This window comes from Homo sapiens, chromosome 4, assembly GCF_000001405.40.
Source record: "Homo sapiens chromosome 4, GRCh38.p14 Primary Assembly".
NCBI lineage: Eukaryota > Metazoa > Chordata > Mammalia > Primates > Hominidae > Homo > Homo sapiens.
In genome coordinates, this window is record NC_000004.12 from 44,663,048 (window position 1) to 44,677,475 (window position 14,428).

At 37.4% G+C, this 14,428-nt stretch overlaps 2 annotated features.

The window, feature by feature from the left end:
- Positions 409 to 910: an enhancer, noted in NCBI's record as "H3K4me1 hESC enhancer chr4:44665473-44665974 (GRCh37/hg19 assembly coordinates)". NCBI's record gives its function as "activates a minimal SCP1, AML or CMV promoter by ChIP-STARR-seq in primed H9 embryonic stem cells {active_cell/tissue: H9 hESC(primed)}" and the evidence as "EXISTENCE:reporter gene assay evidence [ECO:0000049][PMID:30033119]".
- Positions 911 to 1,410: an enhancer, noted in NCBI's record as "H3K4me1 hESC enhancer chr4:44665975-44666474 (GRCh37/hg19 assembly coordinates)". NCBI's record gives its function as "activates a minimal SCP1, AML or CMV promoter by ChIP-STARR-seq in primed H9 embryonic stem cells {active_cell/tissue: H9 hESC(primed)}" and the evidence as "EXISTENCE:reporter gene assay evidence [ECO:0000049][PMID:30033119]".

The following is a 14,428-nucleotide window of genomic DNA, read 5'->3' on the forward strand; positions in this document are numbered from 1 at the left end:
CCACGTGTAAGAGGGAACTACTATACATTATTCTTTCTTCTTTAAGTGGGTTTGGATATTCTTGAACTCATCTCCTATAGATTTTAGGTTTTAAGTGATTAATGCGGTTGCTCTAATTGCCAAAACTCAGATGGTGACTAATAAAGGAAAGACCAGAAACACTATTGTGATCATCAAAGTGAGCACAGAGTTTATTGATTTGCCAGGCAAGAGAACACACACCAGAGAAGAATTGAAGGAGCAGTTTTCTGAGGGAAAAACTTTAGGCAGTATTATGTAATAGGGATGTAGTGAGAGTTTGTGATGGTTATGCTAATGAATACTTGATGTTTGCTTTCTGGATAGGACTACCAGTCCGTAAGTCCGTACAAGGTTAGTTAAAACAAGCCCCACTGTTCACCTGTTAAGAAAGAGTGAAGCTCACACTTCCATTGTAATTTTAGCATGTGAGGTTTTGACCCTTTTTTGTTGTTGTTAGCTGTGTACAGAATGTGTAATCTTTTTTCTTTGTGTGTGTGTGTGTGTGTTGTTTGTGTGTTTTTCTTTTTTCTCCTTGGCTAATTCTTGGCAGGGATCTTTCTGGAGGAAAAGCTGGGGCCAGCCATGGCAGGAGAGGTATGGAATCTGCCACGTGAGGCCTGCTGTTTGCCTGCCAGCCCAACTTCCTGTTGCTTGCCCCTACCCTCTGCGCCTTTGCCTGTCCTCAGGCCGCTGGAACAAAGGAAGGACAGCTCATTCCCCATGGGCGATAACTTCGCACCTAAAGGGTAGAGCCTGGGGGAGCTTGAGGGTGGGCTGGGGGCTCCTTGTCTTGGGTTCACAGCTGTCTCCACGCCCCGTCCCTCAGCACTACTGGTGCCACCTCCCACACTGGGCTGCTGCTTTCTGCGCAGCCACTGCGCCGCCTCCCCCAAACTGTCATGGAAAGAGTGGAGAATGGGGGAGAACCAGGCGTCCTTGGAGGCAGCCTGGGAGGGCGACTGTGTAATGTCACCCACAAGGGAGGCTAGGGCAACGGAGCAGTCCAACAGCAGCAGCAGCTGCTGCGTGAATGTGCAGCATGGAACCCGGGCCAGGCCAGGATCCGGGGTTGTGGGATCTGCTCGGAGTTTTCTGCCCCACACCCCGAGCTTCTGGCAAGGAGCAAGGCTTGCGAACAAGTCAGAAGGATTTGAACTGAGCAGCTAATCTTTTCAGCGCCCAACCCCCACCCCCCACCCCGCAAACACTAAACTCTGCCTGGAGATGCAGCGGCCTGTGTCATCCAGGGCCTCTGGTTTGTTGTATTATAGTATATTTCGCTGTGGAAAATATCACGTTTATTCACCTTGCAGCCCACTCACCTGGTCCTGTTGTTTTACCCCATCTCTTCTCCCGCGCGCCCTTTGATTTCTCGTTTCTGAGAAGAGTACACCGTTCACTATTGTAGAGTAATCCCTGTGACTCAGTATTACCATAGCGCGATGTCGTTTTGTGCTATTTTGAACAATTAAAATACTTTTTGAAATAAAAAAAAGAGAAAGAGTCTTCAATTGTGTTCAGTAATGGTCCAAAATCCTGGAGTCACTCAAAATTCACATTCATTTATCAGCCATAGTTGGTGAATGTTCAATGTTCATGATTGCTTAAAAGCTTCAGCTGGTTAGCACTAGTTAGGGTGAAACACAGCATATCATATAGTCCAATTATATCATAGGCAATCACTGCTTTAAGTTGAAAATCTTTCTTTTAGATATCTCATTGTTGCCATCACTTACCATCTACTATAATTATATAGAAGGCTTATATTCTATTCTGGTGATTCACTTGAGCATTTAACTGCATTCTTACATTCTTCATAGCACCTAGCACAGTTCCTGAGATGCAATAAATGTTCAATAAAGGTTTGTTGAATTAATGAATACTCAAACAAGACAACTTTTTTTAACCTCACTTTTTTTACCTTGTCAAAATTAATGTGTATCTATTTAGAATGAAATCTCTGTGTAAGAGGCTTTCTTAATATTTTATCAGCGTAATATACTTGAAAATATCATATAACATAGGAAAACCCCTATCAATAGATTCTCTTTTCATAGTCATTTACTATTAGCATTTTATTAAAAATAAGATATACATATAAATTTATTTCTATTCTGATTAACTAATAAATTGATTAAATGATAAATGAAATATACAGTATTATGTTCACAGCAGACATTCAAAAATGGGACTAATAAGACATATACTCTCAAATTCATGTGGCAGAATTGATTTTCAGGACTATTTTAAATATATTTATCAAATGATGTAAAATGTATCAAATGATGTAATGATCTTTATGACTTACATGAGCTTGTTTTATTTGTGTGTGTGTATACACACACATACATATACATATTGTGGAACGAAAAACAGTGATAAATCACAGCAATTAACAAAACTGACAAATTAATTGCTTACTATCTATTAAAGACAAATATTTATATTAAAAAGATGTATTTCAAATTTTATTATTACATATGTTTGATTGTTTTTGACTGGGGAAATAAGAAGTTTTGGGTTATAAATAGTTTCTGGCATTGTTTTATTGCTTAAGTATGTTATGTAGCTTTAAATATAGCAAAACTAGCTTAAAATCTTTTTTTCTTTCCATTGCATCAGTGTTTCTATATAAAAATCTATTGCTGAGAATGTTTTTAGGCTGTGAATTTTAGGCTGTGGATATCACACTGTGGTTTTCACAGAATAATATTAATAGTTTTACTGACAGTCTTTATTGGAAAGGTTGTTTTCTACCTGTGATAGGCAGGTTCCGATGTGGTCACCAATAATCCCAGCATCCTGGTATTCATGCTCTTGTGTGATCCCCTCCCCTTAAGCATAGTCTTGATTACTTGATTTTAACCAATAAAATATGGAAAAGATAATGGGATGCCATTTCTGTGATTAAATGAAAAATATTATGACTTCTATATTGTTAGCAGACTCTATTGCCTTTGTGGCTTGCACACTTTGATGAAGCAAGCTAAAATATGGGAGAGACCCAGGTGGCATGGAAATAAGGGAGGCCTCACTTTCTACCCAACCCATTTCTCACGGATGGGTAGAAAATGAGGTCCTCAGTCCATCAGACCACAGGATCTGAATACAGCCCCAAATCACTGAATGAGCATGGAAAAGAATCCTTTCTCAGTTGTGTCTTCAGATGAGACTGTGGATCTTTGTCTGATATCTCAATTGCAGCCTTGTGATAGGTTGTATAGCAGAGAACCCAGTTCAGCCATGCCCAGTTTCCTGACCCAAAGAAACTATAAGATAAAAAATGTGTGCTGTTCTGTAGTAGTAGGTAACTAATACAATAACTCGTCAGTAAAACTGACAAACTTAAATATGTCTTGACACCAAAATCTTTTAAAAAACTAATTAAATGTATAAGATCTTATCCTCACATATGTCATGTCAACATGGTGCAATTCTCATTTTCTAAGAAAACCAGATAATTTACCTGACAAGACAAACCTGTAGCCATTCTAATGTCTTCTCTTGATGTATTATGCTCATGCTATTTCTCTCTAAATCATCTATTATGACAAAGAAGGAAAATGGGAGACATTACATCCATATAACAAAACTTAACATGGTACCAGAGGGCCTCCAGCTCATCTTTTTCCAAGGGGAAAACATCATCAAATTTTTCCACTAAGATAGCCATCAAGTTTTGTCACAGAGATTTCCCTAATAATAACTTCTGTAAACTTGTAGGCTAGCATTGTATTTCTGTTATAATGTAAGCTCTCTTATTCCTGCTGTGTGACCTATGGCAATTTACTTAGTTTCTCTGCATGTCAGTTTTCTAAGCAATAAAATTATATTTTTGGATTATATGGTATATAAGGACACCCCCTATATCTACTGAAATATTTCAAGTACTGTAAGCGTACCTAAAAATATTTATATTTTTAACATGGCCACAGCAGAAGCTTCTGATGGGAGACATTATCTGTGTTGCAAAGCTGCTTGGTATACTGCCTAAATGTGCCAAAAATTTCTGCTAAGACATTTTATTGCAAACTCGAATCTACTAGATTCTGCAGGGATTCTTTTGAATAAATCCTTTTAGGCCTTAAAAAGAAAAGTTCTCTTTTTTTTCATGTTCCTAGTGCAACATTAAAAGTGTTTATTTCTCATATTCTTTATTCAACATGTTACAATTCCCTTCCTTGTGAGCATAAATAAATATTAAATTCCACAACTGCCATAGAGAAACAAGCACAAACGGAAATGATGTTTTTCTAAGATAATTCACTTTCAAATGAATGAATACTACTGTGAGGTGTTTAATAAATCTAAAACTAGTGACAAAAATAGGAGGAATTATTAGAGAAAAAAATTGATCAGTACTATGCAAATAATGACTCACATAAGAATACAAAATGTCAGAGAAGCAAAAAATAACACAGGTAAGAAATAGATGCTAAAGTAATTTTTTAAAAAGACAAAGTCACAGGAAAATTAATTTCCTTATTTTCCTTGGCATTGTGCACTTAGAAATGTACTCTTCCGGGTTGCTTAAGAATCCTTTAATCCTTGTAATGGACATTTATTGCTACTCAATATCCAATCCACCTTCTCATTTCCTGTCAGCACCCAGTTTTCCTTTTGGGGAACACCCTGCCGACATTGTGTAAGAGCCCCGGGGCTCACATCAGAATTTCTTCCATAATGCTACTAGTAGATCCAGATCAACACCTCAAAAAAAGATTATTTCACTAATTGTGAAAACTGATGCTCTCTCCCTGTATCTCAATAAGAAAAAACAGTGTTTCAATTGCTTCTGACACGCATTTTTTAAGGATGTAAGATAAAAATAAACCAAATATGGAGGAAGGCAGAACCAATGGACTATCAGAGAAACAGACCTGTGATCCTGATAAATCCAAGGCTTAAAGAGACTTGGCAGTGATATAAGCCAATAGAACTGCTTGTTTAGACCAGGTTAAGCTGTATAATTGTAACTTAAAGTTTATAATACACCTTCCTGTAAAAACATAGCTAACAACCAAAGCATCTCCCTCCACCAAGAGATAGAGTGACTCACTCCATTACCTAGGCTAGAGTGCAGCGGCACAATCAGAGCTCACTGAAGCTCTGAACTCCTGGTCTCAAGGAATCCTCTTGCCTCTGCCTTCCAAATCACTGGGATTACAGGCATGAGCCACTGCACCCCACAGCCTCCAAAGTGTCTTTAATTGATGCCTTTTATTTAGCTATTGTTGTATATGTTGGGTCAGGATATTTTTCAATTTAAACACTTCTAATCTTATCCTTCCTAGTATTTTATTGTGATAAAAATCACACATTAATACTATAATATTTTATTTTTAATAGTGAAATCTATCAAAACTCTTAATGATGTGCTCCTAAAGGAAATACCGATGCTCCACGACATAGCCTTCTGAAGAAGACACACCTTTGAAAGATGTATGAGTGAATATGTGTGTTCCCAAATATATGACAGTACAAAGGCCACGGCCATTGCCTGGGCATTGCCTTGGGGTTTATGAAAGTTACCTGACGGGTGGAAAAATAGCCAAGCCTTTCCTGTGTGATATACTTTGGTTCATGAGTAGCATATCATTTCTCCAGGTTAAAGACTTTAAGCTAAGGCATCAAACAAGTTTCTGTACATGCCAAAGAGCAAAAGGAAGGATGCCAGAGACAAGTCATTTTCAGTTATGACTAACTTCCTGAATCAGTAAGATTCACTAAAGAATTGGAGAACAATAAACTTTGCTTTGAGATTTTTGTTTTAGAATAATATAACAACAAGCTTAGAAAGTAGTTGAATTGGTCTTCATCTGACAAGAATGACACAAGTCTCCACAGTGCAAAACTAAACAAAATATTCCCTCTCCCCTGCCCTGCTTAATTTTTTTAACTAATAGATGATAATGGAGGCATAATGGAAACCAGGAATCAGATGATACATTTCAAGTGTGAAATGCAAAAATTTTCTTTACTCTGGGTTTGTAATATGCAATTGCTTTTTTCATATTCTATATTAAGGCAGGATAAATTTACCATCCAGTCAAATTCATTTCTTCTGCAGACACAGTATCACTGTCCCCATGTAGGTTGCCATCATTTATCTCTTGAAACTAATTTATTCCCTGCCTCCAAGCAGCTGTGAAAATGATCTAAATGAGACACAAAATTGCTACGCTACTCCTCTGTGTAAAATCTTTCTAACCTTGCAGTGGCTACAATTACCAGGAACATGAAATCCAAGCTCCTCGTTCCCTGGTCTGGTTCCTAATTTCTTTTTCAACTTCACTTCTTGCCAAACTCTAAATTCCTGCAACCTAAAAGTGCTGGCTGTTTCCTGCATATATCATGCCTCTGCTCACGTAGGATCTTCCATCTAGAACGTCACACCTTACTTTCATCTCAGCCTGGTTGAATCTGACTTATCCTTTGCCCCCAAGTTAGGGACATAACTCTGTGGTCAAGGGAATAGTTTTCAAATCTGCCAGAGTGGTGTTTAAATGCCCCTTCACTACATACGACCTGCATGAACTCAGTCAAGTTATTCAACCGGCCCAAGCTCAATTGCCCTATCTGTAAAACAGGGGCAATAATACTTATTTATAATGTTGTTTTGAGGATTAATTGAGATATTTACAAAGTGCTTAGAAGAGCACCTGGCACATAGCAAGTTCTTTATTAATGTGTATAACTAAGTATTATTGTCACCCACCATGCAAAGACTTTCCTGATACCACCACTATCTGGCTGTAGAAGAGGCCTCTTCTCTGTTCCTTTATAATACTTTATTGAAAATTCTATCATAAAAATTATAACATTGTAATATGATTATCTTTTATAAAATGGCTTTTTAAATTTATCATAAATTCTCTCAGTACTACAACCATACCTATTTCATTTTTGCATTCCCATGGCTTAATATAGTGTCTGACATGTAGTAAACATCCAGCTAATATTTATTGAATGATTAATAAATGATATTCTGTCCCCAGCCAAATCTTATCTTGAGGTATAATCACCATAATCCCCATCTGTAAAGGGAGAGACCAGGTGGAGGTGATTGAATCATGGAGGCAGTTTCCCCCGTGCCATTCTCTTGAGAGTGAGTGAGTTCTCACGAGATCTTATGGTTTTATAAGGGGCTCTTCCCTTTTCACTCTTTCACTCAGTACTTCTCCTTCTTGACGCCTTGTGAAGAAGGTGCCTTGCTTTCCCTTTGCCTTCTTCCATAACTGTAAGTTGTCTGAGGTCTCCTCAGCCATGCTGAACTGTGAGTCAATTAAATTTCTTTCCTTTATAAATTACCCAATCTCAGCAGTTCTTTATAACAGTATGAAAATGGACTAATACATTAATCAATGAACGCAAATTTCTCAGAATAAAATAAATATATGTACATAAGTTGTTACAGATAGTCATTGCTACACACACACACACAAAAACACATCAAAATTTACTGAATTTAAACAAGGAGACATTTATCTTTTTCAGAAATCTGCAATTTGGGCTGTGCTGATGGGGAGAGCTCTTCCCTGCTCTGCTTGGCAAAATCTGTGGTAGCTCAGAAACTAAATGCTGGAATCATGTGAAGTCTTGCTGAGTCCATATGTCTGGTGGTTGTTGCTGGGTGTCACCTTAGCAAAAGGCATATAATTAAGGCCACTTGTTAGTTGACTTTAAAATAGGGAGATGATCTGAGTGCCTTAATCTAACCACATGAATCTTTTTAAAACAGAAAATTTTCTCTGGCTGGTGGCTGAAGGCAGAAGAAGTGAGATATTTGAAGCTCAGTGGGGATTTGATGTACCATGGCTAGCTTTAAGATGGAGAGGGCCACGTGCCAAAGAATGTGAGTAGCGCTAGGAGATGAGAGCTGCCCCCTGATGACAGCCAGCTAGGAAATGTGTATCTCAGTGCTACACGGAATTGAATTCTGCCAGCAGCCTGAATGAACTCAGAAGTAGATACTACCCTAGAGGTTCCACGTAAAAGTCCAGCCTGACTAGATCCCAGATTTCAGCCTTGTGAAATACTAAGCAGAGAATCCAAATGAACCATGCTGTACTTATGCCCTACATAACTGTGAACTAATAAATCTGTATTGTTTGAGGTGCTGCATTTGTGGCAATTAGTTACAAAGCAATAGAAAACTAAAACAATGGAGTTTCTGGGGACAGCATTCAGAAAAGAAATATTGCTATGACCATTTAAGAACTACCAATAAGTATCTATTCAGAGTATTTGGGTTGGTAATGTTTTTGCTTGAACATAAATACTTTAAAAGTAATTATCATTAAAAGTCTTTGGATTTAAGGCTAATTTTAAGGTAATTTTTACAAATTACCATAAATTATGATACAAAGTCTCAGGCTGATTCATTTTTGAGGCTCTGAAAGAGGAGATTCGTCCAGATTCTTAACCAGGATCAAGATTTAGACAGAAGGCTACTGACCTTGGGCCTGCCGGGAGGTCAACTCTTAGATGCTGTTGTGGTTAAACTCTGTCCCCACCAGAAAGATATGTTGAAGTCTTAATGCCCAGTACCTCAGAATGTGACCTTATATGAAAATGGGGTCTTTACAGGGATAACCATGTTAAAATGAGGTCATTAGGTTGGGCCCTAATTTAATATTACTGGTATTTTATAAAAACGGAAATTTTGAACACAGAGACATGCACAGACAGAAGACTATGTTAAGAGACACAGGGAGAACACCATATGGCAGAGACTGGATTGATGCAGCTACAAGCCAAGAAATGCCATAGACTGCCAGGAAACAAGCAGAAGCTAGTAGGGGGCAATGGAACAGATTCTCTATCCTGGTTCCCAGTAAAAACCAACCTTGCCAATTGAACTCTAGCCTCCAGAACTATAAAATAATGATTTCCGTTGTTTAAGCCACTCAGTTTGCGGAAGCCCTAGAAAACTAATACAGATGGCAAAAGGAAGTGGGCTGCTTCAGCAAGAAATATCTTAAAAAGTATAAGTTGTTTTGAACTTAAGAAATGCGCAAAGACTGAGTTTTGAGGAAAATGGCAGAAAAAGCCAAAATTGCCTTGAAGAGATTGTTGGTAAAAAATATGGATGTTAAAGGAGAGTCTGTGGAGAGCTCATAAAGAGTAAACCTGGAGAGAAAGCTTCTATCATCTTAGATCATACATCATCATGAACAATGTTGCTAGAAATATAAATGTTAAAGGTGGTGGGGTATCAGACAAAAATGAGGATCATTTTATTGGAAACTGGAGAATAGGTGATCCATGTTAATGGAAACTGAAGAAAAGGTGACAGAGAATTTGGTTGAATTGTGTTCTATAGAGTGGAAAGAACTTATTCATGATGAACTTGGATATTTAACTGAGGAGAATTTTAAGCAAAGTATTGAAGGTGCAGCCTGGTTTCTCCTTGTTGTTTATAGTAAAACAAGAGAGGTAAAAGATAAACTAAAGAAGGAATCCTGCCTGAGTTTTCCTGTAGATTTTGAATTCCCTGCAGATTTTGGACTCAAGAGTGCAACATCAACATTTATCTGAATTTTTAGGCTGCCATCCTGGTCTACAAATTTCTTGCTTGCTAGCTTCCACAGTTGTGTGAGTCAATTATTTAAAATCTCAAATGTGATCTCTTTCTCTCTGTCTCCATATGCATGTACATGCCATGCATGGCTATATATGTGTGTGTGTGTAAATATTTATATATACACACATTATAGATATATATATACATTTTGTGTGTATGTGTGTGTGAATAGCCAGTATATATACCTAGCATGTCAGACAGTGTGTGACGCACCTTGAATAAGTAATGTGAGAAGCCATTGTAACCAGTATATCTAGCTTAGGTAGACTGGAGAATAACATTGCTGTTAGGATGTTTTTAATATTCAGTATCTCATAGGTAGTTATAAATCGAGTTTAGGGAAAATAATTCAGGGCTAGAGTTCTGGAAACCATCTGTAAACAATTTTTTAAAAAACTGTGGTACTAGATAACTTTTTGAAATCAGAGGGTAGGAAATAAAGTTGTTGAGAAAAGAAGAGAGAAGAACTCAATACACTTGAGGGTACCCTTTTGTGAAACATGCCTTGAGGAAACAGAATAGCCTATATGGATTTGTACTTATATTTTTCAAAAATTATCTCTAAGCATCTATATTAGTCAATGCTCTCCAGAAAAACAGATGATGACTCCAGCCTCCTTGAGTTTCAGTCTGGGAAAGCTCAAAGTTGCCAAAAGAATCTGTTTGTTCCAGCCAACACCTTATTTTGGTGCTAATATTTTACAGTTCTTCTCTAATGCTGACTAATCTCCCTTTTTAATCAAAAGAAATCCAACTCTAAATGAATCACATTTTTTATTCATTATGCTGATACTGTTAGTTTTTAACAGGTTATTATGTTGTTTCGATTTATATTAATCATATAAAGTTTTCTATTTAAAAATTCATTTACATATAAAAGGTAAGTTAATTTAAAAAATATTAAGTATATAAGAGAAATAGGAAGATTGACAAAATACTTTTCCTGACTAACTATAGCCAGGTTCCTCTGAGCCCATTTACTGGCAAAGTCTCCACCTTGGGCTATAAAAACTACAGACTCTCAGCACAACTGATTTCATCCACATCCTCCCCCCTCCCACCCATACACACATATCAAAAGACTTGAACAAACACTAATATAGTTTCTAACAGCTCAAGGTTGCATTCTTAAGATGAAATTTGGAGTTATCCTGGCCTTCTCTCTCTCTCTACATCAAATTAATTTTGTTAAATTTGTCTCCAAAATGCCACTAATCATCTCTTCATTCTCTGCCACTGATTTACCCAGGACTCTACTGTGTCTTACCTAGATTATTATTATTATTATTACTTTTTGAGACGGAGTCTAGCTGTGTTGCCCAGGCTGGAGTGCAGTGGCGCAATCTCAGCTCACTGCAAGCTCCGCCTCCTGAGTTCACGTCATTCTCCTGCCTCAGCCTCCCGAGTAGCTGGGACTACAGCGCCCGCCACGATGCCTGGCTAATTTTTAGTGTTTTTAGTAGAGACGAGGTTTCACCGTGTTAGCCACGATGGTCTCGATCTCCTGACCTCGTGATCCACCCGCCTCGGCCTTCCAAAGTGCTGGGATTACAGGCGTGAGCCACCGCGCCCGGCCTGTCTTACCTAGATTATTAAAATAAAAAACTCTCTTTCCCTTTCATTCTCATCACCTCATTTGATTTCTTTTCATTTTACACATCGTTAGAGAAAGCCCCCTAGAGCAAAAAATTCTGTTATTTCCTTCCTTACGATGGTTTCTGCATAGATTAATGGTGAAATGCTAACTAGTACGTCCCTGTTCAAAGCCCTTCACAAAGTGATACAAACTCTTCTTTCTATGATTCCTCCTCTACCCTATACACTTTCTATTTTGTGATATGAAAATATTTCTAAAGATCAAATTTTTATGCTCAAAATTTGAAAAAATATAAAAGTCTAAAAAACTTAGAATAATTTAAAAATGGGCCTCAAAAGTGAATTGAAAGATGTATTTTATACTGTAGACACATGGTGGCACCATTTTAGCAGCCTAGCAGCAATACTAGAGAACCTTTGTTAATATTGTGTGATTATGCTCTAAAATTGTGCAAGCGCTTTAAATGGCTAATGTGATACTACTTTAATCATTTATTAATGGTATTTTTAGTGCTAGAAATGCTCCACAATATCAATAACTTTGAAACAGAATTTAGAGGTGATAGTTATTTATACATTGTTTTTATTACTCTTTTGTTATGGGCTGAATTGTGTCAACACTTCCATGTTTATATGTTGATGTTCAAACCCCCAATATCTCAGAATGAGACTGTATTTAGAGATAGGGTCTTTAATGAAATAATTAATTTAAAATTATTAGGATTGGCCCAAATCAAATATGACTAGAGTCTTGATAAGAAAATTAGGACACAGACATGTATAGAGAGAAGACCCTGTAAGAACGCAGAAGGTACTGATCTGCAAGCCAAACAGAGAGGTCTCAGAAGAAACCAGCTGTGCTGATACATTGATCTCAAACTCTTAGCCTCCAGAATTGTGAGAAAATAAATATCTATTGTTTAAGCCACCAAGTCAGTCTGTGGTATTTTGTTATGAAAGCCCTAGCAAACTCATATTCCTTTCGGTATATTTACAAATATAGAAACCATACAATAGTTGTGGATTAATGTACTATATGAGTGCAATCTCCATATTATATATTTATTTTTACAGAAAAACTGAGTCTTGATTTATGAGTTTGTAAATTATTTAAGCTCTTCAGAAGTCCTCGCCTCAAATAAAATGCTACTGTCCTGAATGTTGGCCCTGTTCTCTACTGACTATTAACCCAATTTATTGTGTGTTTTTCCGCATTTGTATCCTTGCTCAGCTGAGCCGAGTTTACTGGAGTGGTTAAGGGTGCAGGCTCTACAGCTGGACTGTGTGGACTCACAGCCCTAGTTCATCACTAACTGTGACTCTAGACAGTTATTTAAAAAACGTTGGCCACATTTTTCTTGGAAATCTATGAAACAGAGATAATAAGAGTGCCAGCAATAGAGGGCTCTGTGAAGATCGAATGAATTGATACAAAGTATGTAGAATAGTACTGGGAACTGAGAAAATGTGTTATGCTGTTGATTATTCCTCTGCTTAAGTTCCATTTATTTCCTTGGATAAAAACAAAAAACTGCCTATCCTTCGAAGCACATGAAAGATACCTCCTCTTTGAAGTTCAGTCACTATACCTCCTGCTTCTTCTCAAGTTGAATAATAAAGAAACTTGTGCAAAGATATTGCAAGAGATGAGCTTTAGTTTCCAAAAATTTGGATTCAAATTTTTTTTTGCATTTATCTATCATGTAATTTATCTATCATGTAATTTTAGACATTTTGCTTAATTTGTTTGAGTTTCCACAGCTAGTATATAACCTGACACAGTGGAGCTCAGTATTTTTCTAACAAATATGTTTTTCCATTTGTAGGCTGGGAAACATAATGTCAGCCTTATAAGATACTGCAGTTTTCTAAAGTGTGGGACAAATTCCTGTGGAGGCACCAAGATAGATACAGACATGGTATCAAGGATACTGTGTTATTCAGATAAAGTTTTTCTTTCAACCCTATTTAAATGCTTCTTGCTAGGTCAAAGAGAAAAATCTCAGTTTGAGGCTAATATTTTTAAATTCTTTTCTAATATCTGCTAATCTCCCTTTTGTAATCCAGACAGACCAAACCTACAATTGAATCACATTTTTTATTCACTACAGTTATATTTACTGTTACTCTTATGACAGCTCATCATGCTTTCTCCATTAATGGTATCTACGTTTTCTTTTAAAAAGAATTCATTTACATATAAAGGTAAGTTAAAGAAAAATATAAAGTACATAATATCGGTATGAGGATTGACAAAGATTCTTGACCAAACTCTAGCCTGACTCTTCTAAGCCCTCTTATCAGCAAAGCCTCAAACTTGCCTATAAAAACTACAGACCCTCAGCACAAATGATTTCATCCACATCCTTCCCCTACCGGTTTGCCCACACATTAAAAGACTTGAACAAACTCATATAGTTTATAACAGCTCAAGGCTGCATCTCTAAGATGAAGCCCCCTTAAATTTCTGTCTGAGAAAGCTCAAGACTGACAAAATAATTTATTTGTTCCAGCCAACATGTGAAAGTAGCACTCATTTCCTAGTGTCTGCGGGAAGGGTAGGAGCCTTATTTCCATAAGCAACAGTTTACAACCCAGATGGATTTCAAATGGACCATTCTTCCGCCATTGTTTTTTGTAAATTTCCGTTTCCCTGACTTTGATCAAGCCCAGTTGTTCTCTTTCCCTACTCCCGCATTCTCCTTTTAAAATACAGTCGCCTCTGGACAAATTGTAGTTTAGTTCATTCTGGATCTTATTCCCGATTGCATTAGTATATCACTATAATAAAAATCTGTCTTCACCACTTTAACTGGTGTCTGCCTTTATCTTTGACAGGATATGGTGAAAATTAATGAGGGTAATTGTGCAAATTATGGAAGTCTGGGCAACATTGAATATAAATTATTGTGTTTACTTCAAGATAGTTGTTAAATTCATTCTCTTACAAGTGTGACAGAATTAGTCGTCTATCAAGTACTGTTTTAATTCATAAAAGTTCCAAGAAAGGGCCAGGCGCGGTGGCTCACGCCTGTAATCGCAACACTTTGGGAGGCCGAGGTGGGCAGATCACGAGGTCAGGAGTTCGAGATCAGCGTGACCAACATGGTGAAACCCCGTCTCTACTAAAAATACAAAAATTAGCCATGATTGCTGGCGCGCGCCTGTAATCCCAGCTACTCAGGAGACTGAGGCAGGAGAATCGCTTGAGCCCAGGAGGCGGAG